The sequence below is a fragment of the Homo sapiens genome, chromosome 2 (genome assembly GCF_000001405.40).
Source record: "Homo sapiens chromosome 2, GRCh38.p14 Primary Assembly".
Classification (NCBI taxonomy): domain Eukaryota; kingdom Metazoa; phylum Chordata; class Mammalia; order Primates; family Hominidae; genus Homo; species Homo sapiens.
In genome coordinates this window covers 179,497,378-179,513,434 of record NC_000002.12, presented here as the reverse complement: position 1 = coordinate 179,513,434, position 16,057 = coordinate 179,497,378, and the positions used below count along the sequence as shown (strand labels likewise).

At 34.8% G+C, this 16,057-nt stretch overlaps 1 protein-coding gene across 21 annotated transcripts in view; it reads left to right on the top strand.

Moving 5' to 3' along the window:
* Positions 1-16,057, top strand: part of ZNF385B (zinc finger protein 385B) — a 419,631-nt gene that overhangs the window by 348,178 nt on the left and 55,396 nt on the right. The gene's annotated exons all lie outside the window — the stretch shown is intronic.

The following is a 16,057-nucleotide window of genomic DNA, read 5'->3' as shown; positions in this document are numbered from 1 at the left end:
AGCCTCCTTGCTATAGCTCCAAAGTTCCTTTGATAATGAAGAAAGAAATTAGACTTCTGAGTCATTCTTAGACTCTGGGCAGTAAAGCCACAAAGTCTGGATGGCAAATTCACAAATGTGACATGTACTTGTTCTCAGTGTTTAGTAATGGTGCTATAATCTGCATAACCAAGCTCTGAAACTGAGCATTTTTTATTTGGGGGGGAGTTTATTATTTTATAATTACCCTATTTACATTTTAATGTAAGAATTAAGAAGATGCTCATCCTTATTTTTAATAACATTTCTAAATCAGCCTGAAACTGAAATTGGCTTCACTCTTCAGTGTAGAAAATACGTTTATTGAAAAATATGGAAGGCAGATGCACAGTAAACAGACTGCATTTTGCGGTTCTTCATTATCCATATAAAATGTACCAGAGTTGGCTTCATGCATTAAAATTCAATATGACCTAGTTTAAGTTCCTGTACCCCCCTTTGTCTAGCTTATATCATCTCAGTAGAACTACCCTGTTGAAAAGCAAAATGCTACAGCTTTATTTACACAATACACAGTTATGTAAATGAGCAAGCATTAATCACAAACATTTCCCAAATGAACCTTTACAAATTAACACCATTAACTTTGCCAGGGAGCAGGCATTGCAGTCCAGGAATAATATGCTTTCCAACTGAGTCCCAGACATTTGCACAAATGTGTGTATCACCTCAAGCCCTGCTTTCTTCTTGACCACCTTTTTTCTAACATGGTGTATCTAAGCTGAATGGGGCTGTCTAACCCTGAATGTTTCTTTATTCTCCAGTAACTGAGTATACTGCAACTGCAGTATGGTCATAAATTGATAAGCCTAAATCTGAATCCTGATCTTTTAGCTGGAAAATGCCATTTCCAAAGTTAAGCTTTGCCGGGGAAATGAGCTAACATACACTTCAGAAAATTTTTTGAGACTAACATTTATCTCATTTTGGCTAAGTTGAAATTGGCAGATCCCAAATAATTTCTAATTTACATATTCATTTCAATTCCTTGGAGGATAGTAGCAGAAGGATGAAAGAAAGTGATTCTTACACAAAATCAAATCTTTATACAAAATTGAATCAAAATCAAATTCTTAAACAGATTCTTACACAAAACAGGGCAACTTGATTCTCTTAAATGTTTAAAAACAGAGATTATATTATTATTATTATTAATATTGATCTCAGAACAGTTTATTATAAATACCCTTAATGTATTTCTGAGTCTTTTATGCCTTATAAGCAAATCAAAATGAAAGCATGGTGATCTTTTTAGTCAAGTTTTATATACTCTAAGTCAGAATTGACCCTGAAATTTTGGTACTCAGCATTAATACCACAAGTAATTAAGCATGAGATACATTGTCCCTAAATGTTGACCCCATAGGCTTTTATTACTCATTTGGAGCTAGCCCATTTGATTTTTCAAATTTACATTATTATCTTTGAATAACATAATAAACATTGAATCACTTAGAGTTTATATTTTATTTTGTATGGTACCTCTAGGTTTGTGATCTGTTGATATTTTTTATTTTGTTTTTTGGTGTCAGGTTATCCAATATCCCTATCTCTCATTTTAGCCTTCTGTTCTTTTTGCTGTGCTCTATTTTCTCATGTCTGAAGACATAAGGTGACAACCTCATGCCATTTCATTGATTTACATTAGAATGATTAAGTACAAATAGACAGAATATTAAGGGTTTGCTTAGAAGTTAAAATGGTAGGGTAATCAACCACTTGTATAAACATTTCTGTGGGTGACCTGACTGTGCTACTCTTTACTATAAATCTCTATAAGATTTCAGAAACTGCAGTCGTTCAATGACCTCCCTCAATTCCCATGTGCTACAGTTAGTGTGTAATTGGTACATCCATAATACCACCTCACTATGCATTTTGTGTCTGTCATCTCAGCAGTTTTCATTTGGATAAGGCAATTTAGGTTATGCCCTCCTCGGTCTTTCTGCCTATATCTCTTCTTTGGTTTTAATTTTATTCCAATTTCCTGGTTTCTTTAGCAGTTAATATAATACAATACCAACTCATATTTGTCTTGCCTGAACAAACTTCCCCATCTACCATCTGCCATTTAGAAGGCCTTAGTGCTGTCTCTGCTAGAGGCGCTGGCATTCTCTGTCACCCAGCAGAGACCTCAGCAGTCAAGAGATTAGGAAGGAAGCCACAACTTTGGGTTCCACATAACTCCCTTTCCACACGCTATTGGCTGATTTTGCATCTTCCTTTGCCACCAGACCTAACTCCACCTCTCTCCACCAGCTGCCATGAGGCAGCAAGTCCCTGCAGCAGCTATGTTTTTTCCTGAGAAATCAGATCAACTGGGAAACAGGAACCCCATTAGACACCATGTTTGAAGATGTCCCTTGCAGCAAAAGCAAAAGAGGCACACAGCTGCAAGGGTACCCACTTGGGTTTTCTGAAGGATCAAGCTTTTTATTTGTCATTATGTAACATTCTCCTAGGGGATTCCACATTTGGCTATTGACTGCCTGGTGCTTGCTTTTAACTCTAGAAATTCTATCTGCATGTTATGTTTCTCTTCCCCTGTGTTTTCTTCTAAACTATCACATTTCTTCTTCCTTTCTTCTCTACTCAATTTTCTCTTCTCTCTCTCCTCCAACTCTTCTCCTTTATCCCTTGTTCCTCTTTTTCTGGCACAAAAATGCAACAAATGCAATTTCCCCTGTCTTTCTTGGACATTTGTAATTTATTTATGAAGTTTTTTTAGCTTAACAACTGGATTCATTGTTTTAAATCAGAGGTATTTTACTTAAAAAGGCCTTTAGAGGGTTAAAAAATATATTGAGCATGTTACTTGAAACTCAAACCAACATACTATTTAAAAAATAAATTTACCTTATATTTTCTGAATATTCAGATACTCTGTAGTTGATGGTAGTTTACCCTAATGGGTTTGTCAAAAAAAAACTTTGAACATTCACTTTTATGTATATATTATACATTCACCTATATATATATGTATATTCACATATATAAACATTCACCTATGTACACACACATACACACATATACACATTCACTGCCTGCCACACATACACATCTACTGTGTTTCTCTTGAAAGCCCTTAAGATAGATAGCAGCTTCACATATATGAACATATAAGATAGATAGCATATTCACATATATGAACATTCACATATATATACACACATGTATATCTACACACACTCACTGCAGGCCACACATACACATCAACTGCATTTCTCTTGAAATCCCTTAAGATAGATAGCAGCTTCTTTAGTGTATACACTTGTAGCATATTTATATAATTCTAGATTGTATATACACAATTTCATATAAAGTGTATGTATATGTGTGTGTATGTTCAAGAATACTAGTGACTAAGCTATTAGATTTCACCCATGCAAATAGTAGCCTCTCATGCAAAACCTAAATAAGCCAAGGAAGTTGACCCTCACAGAAAAGTGACCTTATGATAAGGGGATTTGGAGAAAGTCACATATAAACTGAACTCTGCAGCAGGTGATTAAATAAAGAGATAACCACAGTAGTGATAATTTCATTGCTGGGTTAGGAACCAAAAAGCTAGTTGCAAAGTTTACATCTGCTGTTCAGCAGTACAAATTGTTGAATAAATGAATAATACTGTAAGTTTGAAAAAACCAACTGATTCTGTCAAGAAATATAATACTGAAAATAGAATCAATAGCATCAGATGGAAATCTAGAAAATGATAACCTGCTTTTGTCAAACATTTTACATTTTTGCCATAAATAAGACTATTTATATTGATTCTTAGGTTTAAAGAGTAGTGAAGCAGATAGGAGGTAATTAAAAGCATAAATCTCAGGAACTTGGGAAGGTAATTCTCTGCTTTGCAGACAGAGCTGACAAAATGATGAACATTTTTTGCTTCAATATGACAGAATTATAGCATGATTACAGGGAGCAGGGACATATTGTGCTAAAAGTTTCATTCAATAGCGGCTGTTTAACAAGCTCATAACAAAGTTCAGTCATCTTTTTTGAAGCATATAGTAGTCACTTATTAAATATAAACTTGTTTCCAAAGCAGCACTATAATATTATTTAAAAAGTCACAGCCTTTCTCAGCATTACCTTATTTTAAATGGGTATTTGGATAATTTAGGATTGATATTAAACTTATCAATGAAAAAAAAGAAAAGACTAGGTTAAATGTGAAGTTTAAAAAAGTGATTATGATGGATCACGACGTCAGGAGATCGAGACCATCCTGGTTAACATGGTGAAACCCCATCTCTACTAAAAATACAAAAAATTAATCTGGCGTAGTGGTGGGTGCCTGTAGTCCCAGCTACTTGGGAGGCTGAGGCAGGAGAATGGCATGAGCCTGGGAGGCAGGGCTTACAGTGAGCCCAGATCACACCACTACACTCCAGCCTGAGCGACAGAGCGAGACTCTGTCTCAAAAAAAAAAAAAAAAGTGATTATGATGACGCATAAATGTTCATCAAATCTTATATTTAACTAACAAGGAAATATACAATACACATCATTCAATATTTTTCTGGCTTTTCTTTAAATACATAGATGTCTAACATGATATGTTATTTTAGCTATTTATATGTGTTCAATGATATTCAAAGTTGGTGATCAGCCTAATATGATGTTATGAAAAAAAGAAAATATGAACATTACTAGGAAAGTAGCAATACTCACCCTCACTTATTATAATACAGTCTCAACAGAAAATGATTATCCATGATTCACCATCGAAATTGCAAGTTTTGGTACATTTCCATTAAATATTAGTTTGCTGATCAAACATTAATAACAGCTTTGAAAGTACTATGGGTTTTCTTTTTTCCTGTGTAAAATTCCTGTGTTAATAACTCTTTTAGTCAAAAGTAAAAGATTCCTGGAAGGATTTTTAAGTCATTTTTGTCAGTGACCTTTCTCAGCCAAAACTTGTCTCGCCACTTGGGAGTTGGAAAAAGATTGTTGAGGGTTTGTGTATTTTCCTTCTTTACTTGGTATGGATTTCTTTAGTGAAGGTTTGTTGCAGAATCCTTAACAATAAGATGTTTCATTATATATTTGTGGTTTGGGATTCTTCAGCTGAAAATTTATTCAACATACAATTAACAACAGGTAGAATTGCTAGACTGAACACCTGTAGCCTTCCAAAATGATTAGTTGCTGGTTTTAAGTTTAAATTCAGGCTTTAAGACATACTTGGTTTGCTGTAGCTTGTCTTTTATTCAGTATGCTTGAGCAGGCATTTGGCTATAGTTTTTACAGTTTAAGACAAAAACAAAAGTGAAGCTGAATGGAACAAAAAAAATAAGTTTACTACACTGCTTTCAAGTAAGAGACTAATTTAATACCGTTTAGAACATTCTGCAGAAGAGGTACCCTTTAGCTACTTTCATCTCTCAAGCGCTCTTTAAATGAAGCGACAGCATTTTGCCCTGGAAGCCATGAACTTTAGTTGTGGTGGGTCAGCATAAAGAGCAGTTTTTTGGGAAAGTCTGACTGGCTGTAAGGAACTTTATGATGTGTGGCTTGGGGATGGGGTGGAGGTGGAGACAGCATATGAGGAAGTATCACCTTAGCCAATTTTAAAATTTCAAGCTAAGAAGATGTTGTTGGCAAAATACTGTAGCTGGTTAACATGAGTTATTTAAGGAGAGTAAAAAAGCAGTGAACTTGAACAGGGAGTTAGGAGAAGAGAGTCAAAGTAGTTCCTGCCTTGAAAGGAAGATCTGAGAAATACCCTCCTATATCTGGTTATCTAGCTAGGGAAACAAAACTAATACAATTATAAATACTGCTGAACTGTATGATGTTAATACAGTAATATAAATTTAATTATAAATTTAGTAATGGAGACAGCACATGGGATAGAATAATCACACAAGTGGAAAGCTATCATTTGATTAATGCCTTCTCTTCTGCCAGGCCCTGTACTAGGTATTCTCTACATGTTATCCTTGTATTTGCACAAAGGTTCCTGGTGGAGGTAAACTGAGAAAGACTTGAGAGATGGTCAGGATTTAAAGGAGAGAGAATTGAAGACATAAAATATTAGAGCTAAACCAGGGCTTGTTGAGGATATGGCCCATGAATAGGCTGCAGGGGGCCTATGGGCTCCCTAAAACTATGTAAAATTTTGTGTGTCTGCATATCTGGAATGATGATCACTTAAGACATATGACTGAATCTTCCCTTCTCACAGGATGAATGTTCCACAGCTTCCTTTGGCAACATATTCTAGGATTTAATCACTTTTAGTTATTAATACTCCATCTTACCTAAATCTTTTTTTAAAAAAATGAAAAGAAATCTTTGTCTTTATTTCTCTCACTTTAGTTCTGCATTCTAGGGCTCATAGCAAATTTTGGGTTTGCTACTTAGAAAACATGTCAATGACAAGGACCCCGGAGAATATATGACCCTGTTAAGGCTCTTACTTTGGGGGCTGAGAATATGATTCAACTCATTAGTTTGTGCTTCCTTCAAATTAGAAAATGTGTTTTAGTTCTAATAAATAATAATTTCCTTACTTTATCAGTGGTATACCTAACATATCTGACACTCCCATTGCAGGTCATTTTTAATACTCCTTCCTCTCTAGGAAAAAGGCATTTTCAGAAATAATTGTGAAATTACATGACTAGTAACAATAGCCACAAAAAAACTCATAAACTTTTTTTAAATTAAAGTTTGAATACAGTACTATGCCACTAAATATTACCAGTGCACAAAAGAGAAAAAGGTAAACAGTTAATCTTTGTGTTACATTAATGTATTTTATAAATGGAGAAAAATATGTATATTAGTCCATCACAGTAATGAATAATACCATTATAGTAACAAATAAGTGAATTTTAATACAATCAAAATTATACAATATAGAGTTTAGATAACTATTAATTATACCACTGATATTACATTTTATTTTCGTTTATTTCTTATTTTTAAAGCACATAACTTTAAAAGATGCATACATTTCCATTTTAATGCTACCAGCCAAAATCGGTAAAATATTTTATGTATGAGCTACAATTTATATTTACCAAATAAGTTAATACACCTTACAGTTGCCACTGTCTCACTTAAGTCTAAAACACAAAAATTCCAAGTAATCACAAAATGAAAGAATTGAAATTCTGAAGTTTTGTTTCTTTGCCTTTAAATTCACTATACTATCATTATTGATTTCAAATCAACTATTAAATGCAAGAATCTGAGTGGCACAAGGTTTGCAAACTTGAACTGCATCTGAAACAAGCTTGAAGGATTCCTCACCATTAGGAACTTATACTAAATGGATGTAGAGGAGTCACTGTGAATTGGAAGTTCCGTCATGTAACTACAAGTTCTCTGTATTAACTTCCATGTAGTTAATTTAAAAATTTGAAAAAGCTCTCATTTTAGTCTTACATATATATTATTAAAACTCAACTGCAATCACAGCAATCATTTATTTAAAACTTAGACCAATAAAAAACTGTTTTTCAGAGAAAACTATTTTATTATTCGTTAAAACTACCAGTATGTTATGATGATAAAAAGTAGACTGATTTTTGGTCCGTTTTTTTATTGTTTTTAAACAAATGCAAACCCTATTTCCTGCACCTGAAGTGAACTGTCCCACATCCCTACCTTCCGTATACCAGTGACATTTGTTATTCGATTAATAGGAATTCTAGTTCTGCTTTAAATACGTGTTACATTTAGCACAGGAGGTACGTAGTGCTAACTTATAATCACCAAATAGTTTCCTTTTTATCTTCAATAATTCTCACTGAATGTTCTCTGAAAAGTAATTTTCATTATCTCTCAACTGTGAGCTTAAGGTGGTTACCCAGTTTTTCCTTGGAAAGAAATAACATTCTATAATATGAGGGACAGCTATGAAATCTTTTTATGTGATGATTTATTTTTATATGTCATGAATTTTTTTGGCCCTTTCTTATATCATTTGAGAGGAATGGAAAAGGCTAGATTCACTAAAGGAGTAGTTAGGTTGTTATAGTTTTGTAATTTAAATTGTTTAGGCCAACAAAATGTCCTATATACACTGCTAAACTAAAAATACTAACAATCTCCTTTTTTTTTTATAGTTGCTTTACAGTTTTTATTACACTTTTAAATTAAGATGTAATTTACATACAGTAAAATTCACTCCTTTTCAGTATACAAAAGTTTGTGAGATTCATGAATATGAGTTTGACGAATGTATACAGTCAAGTAACCTCTGCCACGGTCAAGATATAGAACAATTTCGTCATCCTCTCAAATTCCCCTGCGGCCCTCTGTATTCAACCATCCTCAAATCCCAGATTCTGGAAACTGCTGATCTGTTGGCTGTTCCTAAAGTTTTGTTTTTGCAAGAATTTCATATAAATGGAATTATACAGTGATGTGGTTTGGATCTGTGTCCCCACCCAATCTCTTGTTGACTCCTAATCCCCAGTGTTGCATGTGGGACCTGGTAGGAGGTGATTGCATCATGGGGGAGGATTTCTCATGAATGGTTTAGCACCATCCCCCTTGGTGCTGTCCTCATGATACTGAGTGAGTTCTCCTGAGATCTGGTTTTTTTTTTTTTCTTTAAATTATACTTTAAGTTTTAGGGTACATGTGCACAACGTGCGGGTTTGTTACATATGTATACATGTGCCATGTTGGTGTGCTGCACCCATTAACTTGTCATTTAACATTAGGTATATCTCCTAATGCTATCCCTCCCCCCTCTCCCCACCCCACAACAGGCCCTGAAAAAATGCTCATCATCACTGGCCATCAGAGAAATGCAAATCAAAACCACTATGAGATACCATCTCACACCAGTTAGAATGGCAATCATTAAAAAGTCAGGAAACAACAGGTGCTGGAGAGGATGTGGAGAAATAGGAACACTTTTACACTGTTGGTGGGACTGTAAACTGGTGCAACCATTGTGGAAGTCAGTGTGGCGATTCCTCAGGGATCTAGAACTAGAAATACCATTTGACCCAGCCATCCCATTACTGGATATATACCCAAAGGACTATAAATCATGCTGCTATAAAGACACATGCACACGTATGTTTATTGCGGCATTATTCACAATAGCAAAGACTTGGAACCAACCCAAATGTCCAACAATGATAGACTGGATTAAGAAAATGTGGCACATATACACCATGGTTTACTATGCAGCCATAAAAAATGATGAGTTCATGTCCTTTGTAGGGACATGGATGAAATTGGAAATCATCATTCTCAGTAAACTATCGCAAGAACAAAAAACCAAACACCACATATTCTCACTCATAGGTGGGAATTGAACAATGAGATCACATGGACACAGGAAGGGGACTATCACACTCTGGGGACTGTGGTGGGGTGGGGAGAGGGGGGAGGGATAGCACTGGGAGATATACCTAATGCTAGATGACGAGTTAGTGGGTGCAGCGCACCAGCATGGCACATGTATACATATGTAACTAACCTGCACAATGTGCACATGTACCCTAAAACTTAAAGTATAAAAAAAAAAAAAGAATGAAAAAAAAAAAAAGAAAATGTGGCACATATACACCATGGAATACTATGCAGCCATAAAAAATGATGAGTTCATGTCCTTTGTAGGGACATGGATGAAGCTGGAAACCATCATTCTCAGCAAACTATCACAAGGACAAAAAAACAAACACCGCATGTTCTCACTCATAGGTGGGAATTGAACAATGAGAACACTTGGACACAGGAAGGGGAACATCACAATCTCTTTTTAAGACTTAAACATTTACACAGATAGTTATAGAAGGGGATATTCATTAAAATCTGTAAATGTTGAGCAAATGATGAATGTCTATATTTGTAAAATAGAATAGAATTACTGAATTTGCAGATGTAGATACAAAAATATAAAATTTGAATATGTGGAAGACATTCTTTGTAAGCTAGCTTTCTAGAGATTTAAACATTGAATAATTGTCTTTTGCATTAGTTTTCATTTTCATAAATGCAGTAAATTCTTATTAAATTGGACTACATTAATTAGGGATTTGTGATCATTCAGGTGTAGGCAAATTGTACTTTTATTGGTCCAAATTCTTTCTTCAAAGATAATGCAAATGATTGTCGCAAAGGAGGTTGAAGCATAGAGATTTAGAGCACCAGCAGAACCACTTTTTCAATCATACTTAAGCACTTAAGGGCACTAATTAAAACACAAACAAAGATATGATACAAAATAATTCTTACCAGGCACAGTGGCTCATGCCTGTCTTCCCAACACTTGGGGAAGCTGAGACAGTCAGATCACTTGAGCCCAGGAGTTCCAGACCAGCCTAGGCAACATGGTAAAACCCCATCTCTATAAAAAATACAAAAATTAGCAGAGCCTGGCGACAAGTACCTGTAGTCCCAGCTACTTGGTAGGCTGAGGTGGGGAGATTGCTTTGACCCCGGGAGGTCAAGCCTGCAGTGAGCCATGATCCCACCACTGCACTGCAGCCTGGTTGAAACAAAAGATGATGGCAGTTTGAACCAAAATTGTTGTGGTAGAGATCTAAAGAATCAGCTTGAGTAGATAAATATTTAGGAGGTAAAATCTATTGGACTTGGTGATGGATTGAATGTGGGGGTGAAGGTAGAATGTGGCAATGAAGACACTCCCTGGATTTGGTTCCTTCAACAGATGCAGAGTGTATTAGTCCATTCTCATACTGCTATAAAGACATATCTGAGACTGGGAAATTTATGAAGAAAAGAGAATTAATCAACTAATGGTTCTGCAGGCTGTACAGGCTTCTGCTTCTGGGGAGGCCTCAGGAAACTTACAATCATGGCAGAAGGCAAAGGGGAAGCAAGCACGTCTTCACATGGATGGCAGGAGAGGGAAAGAGAAAGGGGAAGTGTTACAGACTTTCAAACAACCAGATCTCATGAGAACTCTAACATAAGAACAGCAAAGGAGAAGTCCGCCCCCAAGATTCAATCACCTCCCATTAGGCCTCTCCTCCAACACTGGAAATTACAATTCAACATGAGATTTGTGTGGGGACAAAGAGCCAAACCATATTATTCCTCCCCTGGCCTCTGCCAAATCTCATCTCCTTCTCACATTTCAAAGCACAATCATGCCTTCCCAACAGTCTCCCAAAGTCTTAACTCACTCTAGCGTTAATTCAAAAGTCCAAGTCCATAGTCTCACCTGAGACAAGGCAAGTCCCTTCCACCTGTAAGCCTGTCAAATAAAAAACAAGTTAGTTATTTTTAAGATACAGTGGAAGTACAGGAATTGGATAAATGCTGCCATTCCAAAATGGAGAAATTGGCCAAAACAAAGGGGCTATAGGCACCACCCAAGTCCAAAACCCAGCAGGGCAGTCAGGATCTAATGCCAATTTTGTATAATGATGGCACAACTTTGTATAATGTTTTGTATAATGATAGCACAACTTTGGAAACAACATATATATCCACCAGTAAGGGATTATTGAATAAATTATTGTTCATTCATATAAAATTTATTTATTTGCTTTTATTTTTATTTTGTGGGTATATAGTAGGTGTATAAGTTTATGAGGTACATGAGATGTTTTGATATGGGCATGCAATGTGAAATAAGCACATTGTGGAGAATGGGGTAGCTATCCCCTCAAGCATTTATCCTTTGAGTTACAAACAATACGATTATACTTTTAAGTAATTTTAAAATGTACAATTAAGTTACTATTAACTATAGTCACCCTATCGTGCTGTCAAACACTAGGTCTTATTCATTCTTTGTATTTTCTTTTTGGTACCTATTAACCATCCCTCACCTCTCTCCCAGCTCCCCGCTACCCTTCCAGCCTCTGGTAACCATCCTTCTACTCTCTGTGTCCATGACTTTAATTGTTTTAATTTTTAGATCCCACAAATAAGTGAGAAATGTGATGTTTGTCTTTCTGTGGCTGCCTTATTTTACTTAACATAATCCATCCATGTTGTTGCAAATGACTGGGCCTTATTCTTTTTAATGGCTGAATAGTACTCCATTCTGTATACATCCCACATTTTCTTCACCCATTCATCAGTTGATGGACTCTTACATTGCTCCCAAATCGTAGCTATTGTAAAGAGTGCTGCAACAAACATAGGAGTGCACTTATCTGTATGATGTACTGATTTCCTTCCTTTTGGGTATATACCCAGCAATGGGATTGCTGGATCATGTGGTAGCTCAATTTTTAGTTTTTCAGTAACCTCCCAACTGTTCTCCATAGTGGCTGTACTAATTTACATTCCCACCAATAGTGCACAAGGGTTCCCTTTTCTCTACATCCTTACCAGCATTTATTGCCTGTCTTTTGGATATAAGCCATTTCAACTGGGGTGAGATGATATCTCATTATAATTTTGATTTGCATTTCTCTGATGATCAATGATGTTGAACACCTTTTCATATGCCTGTTTGCCATTTGTAAGTCTTCTTTTAAGAAATGTCTATTCAAATCTTTTGCCCATTTTTTGATTGGGTTATTTGATTTCTTCCTATAGAGTTGTTTGAGATCCTTATGTATTCTAGTTATTAATCCCTTGTCAGATAGGTAGTTTGCAGATGTTTTATCCCATTCTATGGGTTGTCTCTTCACTTTATTGATTGTTTCTTCTGTGCAGAAGCTTAACTTGATGTGATCCCATTTGTCCATTTTTGCTTTGGTTGCCTGTGCTTGTGGGGTATTGTTCAACAAATCTTTGCCAAGACCAATGTCCTGGAGATTTTCCCCATTGTTAGTCTTGTAGCAGTTTTATAGTTTGAGGTCTTAGATTTAAGTCTTTAATCCATTTTGATTTCATTTTTATATATGGCAAGAGATGGGGTCTGGTTTCATTCTTCTGCATATGGATAACGAGTTTTCCCAACACCATTTACTGAAGAGACTCCCTTTTCCCTGGTGTATGTTATTGGCACCTTTGTTAAAAATGAGTTCACTGTAGATATCTGAGTTTGTTTCTGGGTTCTCTAGTCTGTCACATTAGTCTATATATCTGCTTGTATGCCAGTAGCAGCTCTGTAGTATATAATTTGAAGTTAGATAATGTGATTCCTCCAGTTTTGTTCTTTTGGTGTAGGATAGCTTTGGTGATTCTGGGTCTTTTGTGATTGCATATAAATGTTAGGATAGTTTTTTTTATTTCTGTGAAAAATGTGATTGCAATGAATCTGTAGATTGCTTTGGGTAGTATGGACACTTTAACAATATTAATTCTTCCAATCCATGAACATGGAATATCCTTTCACTTTTTGTGTCCTCTTCAATTTTTTTCATCAATTTTACAGTTTTCTTTGTAAAGAATTTTCACTTCTTTGGTTAAATCTTAGATATTTAATTTTATGTGTGGCTATTGTAAATGGGATTACTTTTTTATATCTTTTTCACATTGTTCACTGTTCACATATAAAAATGCTACAGATTTTTGTATGTTAATTTTGTATCCTGCAACTTGACTGAATTTTTTTTATCAGTCCTAATAGGTTTTTATGTGGAGAGTCTTTATTTACAAATATAAGATAATATTATCTGCAAATAAGGATAATTTGACAGTTTTCTTTCCAATTTGGAGGTCCTTTATATCCTTCTCTTGTCTGATCACTCTAGCTAGGACTTCAAGTACTATGTTGAATAACAGTGGTAACAGTGGGCATCTTTGTCATGTTCCAGATCTTAGAGGAAAGGTTTTAAGTTTCTCCCCATTCAGTATAATACTAGCCATAGGTCTGTAGTATATGGCTTTTATTATTAGGTGTGTTCCTTCTATCCTCTGTTTTCTTAGGGTTTTTATCATGAAGGGATGTTGAATTTTTCAAATGCTTTTTTAGCATCAATTGAAATGATCATATAGTTCTAATCCTTCATCTTGTTGATATGATGTATCACACTGATTGATTTGCATATGTTGAATCATCCTTGTATCCTAGGGATAAATCCCACTTGTCATGATGAATGATCTTTCTAATGTATTGTCTAATTCAATTTCCTAGTATTTTATTGAGGATTTTTGCATTGATATTCATCAGAGATATTGGCACACAATTTTTTTATGTCTTTGTAATGTGTAATACTGGCCTTGTAGAACGAGTTTGGAGTATTCCCTCCTCTTCTATTTTTGGAATAATTTGAGTAGGATTAATATTAGTTCTTTCAATGTTTGGTAGAATCTATTAGTGAAGCTATGGGGTCCCAGGCTTTTCTTTACTGGGGAGCTTTTTGTTACAGTTTCTATCTCATTACTTGTTGTTGGTCTTTTTAGGTTTGGGATTTTTTCCTGGTTCAACATTAGTAGTTAGTATGTATCTAAGAATTTTTACATTTCTTCTAGATTTTCCAATTTGTTGCTTTATAGTTTCTTATAGTAGCCACTAATGACCCTTTAACTTTCTGCAGAATCAGTTGTAATGTCTCCTTTTTCATTTCTGATTTTACTTATTTGGATCTTCTGTCTTTTTTTCTTAGTATGGCTAAATGTTTGCCAATTTTCCGTAACATTTTTCAAAGTCAAATTTTTGTTTCATTGATTTTTTTTGTATTGGTTTTTCATGTCAATTTTATTTATTTCTACTCTATTCTTTTTTTCTACAAAATGTGGGTTTGGTCTGCTCTTGCTTCTCTGTTTCTTTAAGATGCATCATTAGATTGTGTATTTGAAGTTTTTCTCTTTTTTGATGTAGGCACTTAAAACTATAAACTCTCTTAGTACTGCTTTTGCAGTATCCCATGGTTTGGGTATGTTGTGTTTCCATTATCATTTGTTTCAAGAAACTTTTTCATTTCTTCTTAATTTGTTCATTGAACCACTCATCATTCAGGAACATATTGTTTAATTTCCATATATTTGTATAGTTTCCAAAATTCCTTTTGTTATGAATTTCTAGTTTTATTCCATTGTGGTCAGAGAAGGTGCTCAAAATTATTTCATTTTTTTGATGTTTTAAGGCTTGTTATATGAGTTTTTTAAATCTGTTCTTGAGAATGATCCATGTGTTGAGGAAAAGAATATATATTCTACAGCCATTAGATTAAATGTTCTGTAAATATCTAATAGGCCCATTTGGTCTATATGTAGACTTGTTATATGTAGTTTTTTTGTGGTCTGTTCTTGAGAATGAGCCATGTGTTGAGGAAAAGAATATGTATTCTACAGCCATTAGATTAATTGTTCTGTAAATATCTAACAGGTCCATTTGGTCTATAGTATAGACTAAGTCTTATGTTTCTTTATTGATTTTCTGTCTGGAAAGATCAGCCCAGTGCTGAAAGTGGGTTGTTGAAGTCTCCAAGTATTATTGTATTGGGGCCTCTCTCTTTAGCTCTAATAACATTTCCTTTATTTATCTGGGTGCTCCCATGTTGGGTGCATGTATATTAAAATTTTTATATTTTGCTGCATTGACCCCTTTATCACTATATAGTGACCTTCTTTGTCTCTTATAGTTTTTGGCTTGAGATCTACTTTTTCTAATATAAGATATAGCAACTCCTACTATTTCTTTAGTTTCCAGTAGTGTGGAATATCTTTACATCCCTTAATTTTCAATCTGTGTGTCTTTACAGGTGAAGTGTGTTTTTTGTAGGCAGCAGATCAATGGGTTTTGTTTCTTCATCCATTCAGCCAGTCTGTGTCTTTTGATTGGAGAGTTCAGTGTATTTACATTCAATGTTATTGATAAGTAAGGACTTACTCCTGCCATTTTTTTATGTGTTTTCTGGTTGTTTTATGGTCTTCTCTTCCTTCCTTCCTTCTTTCTTTCCTTTTTGTGTTCCTCTAGTGAAGTCAATTTTCTCTGGTGATATGATTGAGTTTCTTCCTTTTTATTTTTTTGTATATTCATTGTATTTTTTTTTTGGTTTGAGTTTACCATGAGGTTTGCAAATAGTATCTTATAACCTATTATTTTAACCTGAAAAGAAGTTAACTCTATTTGCATAAACATACAAGCAAAAAGAAAACTAATAAAAAACTTAATGTCTTAATTTATCCCCCCACTTTTTAACTTTTTGTTGTTTCT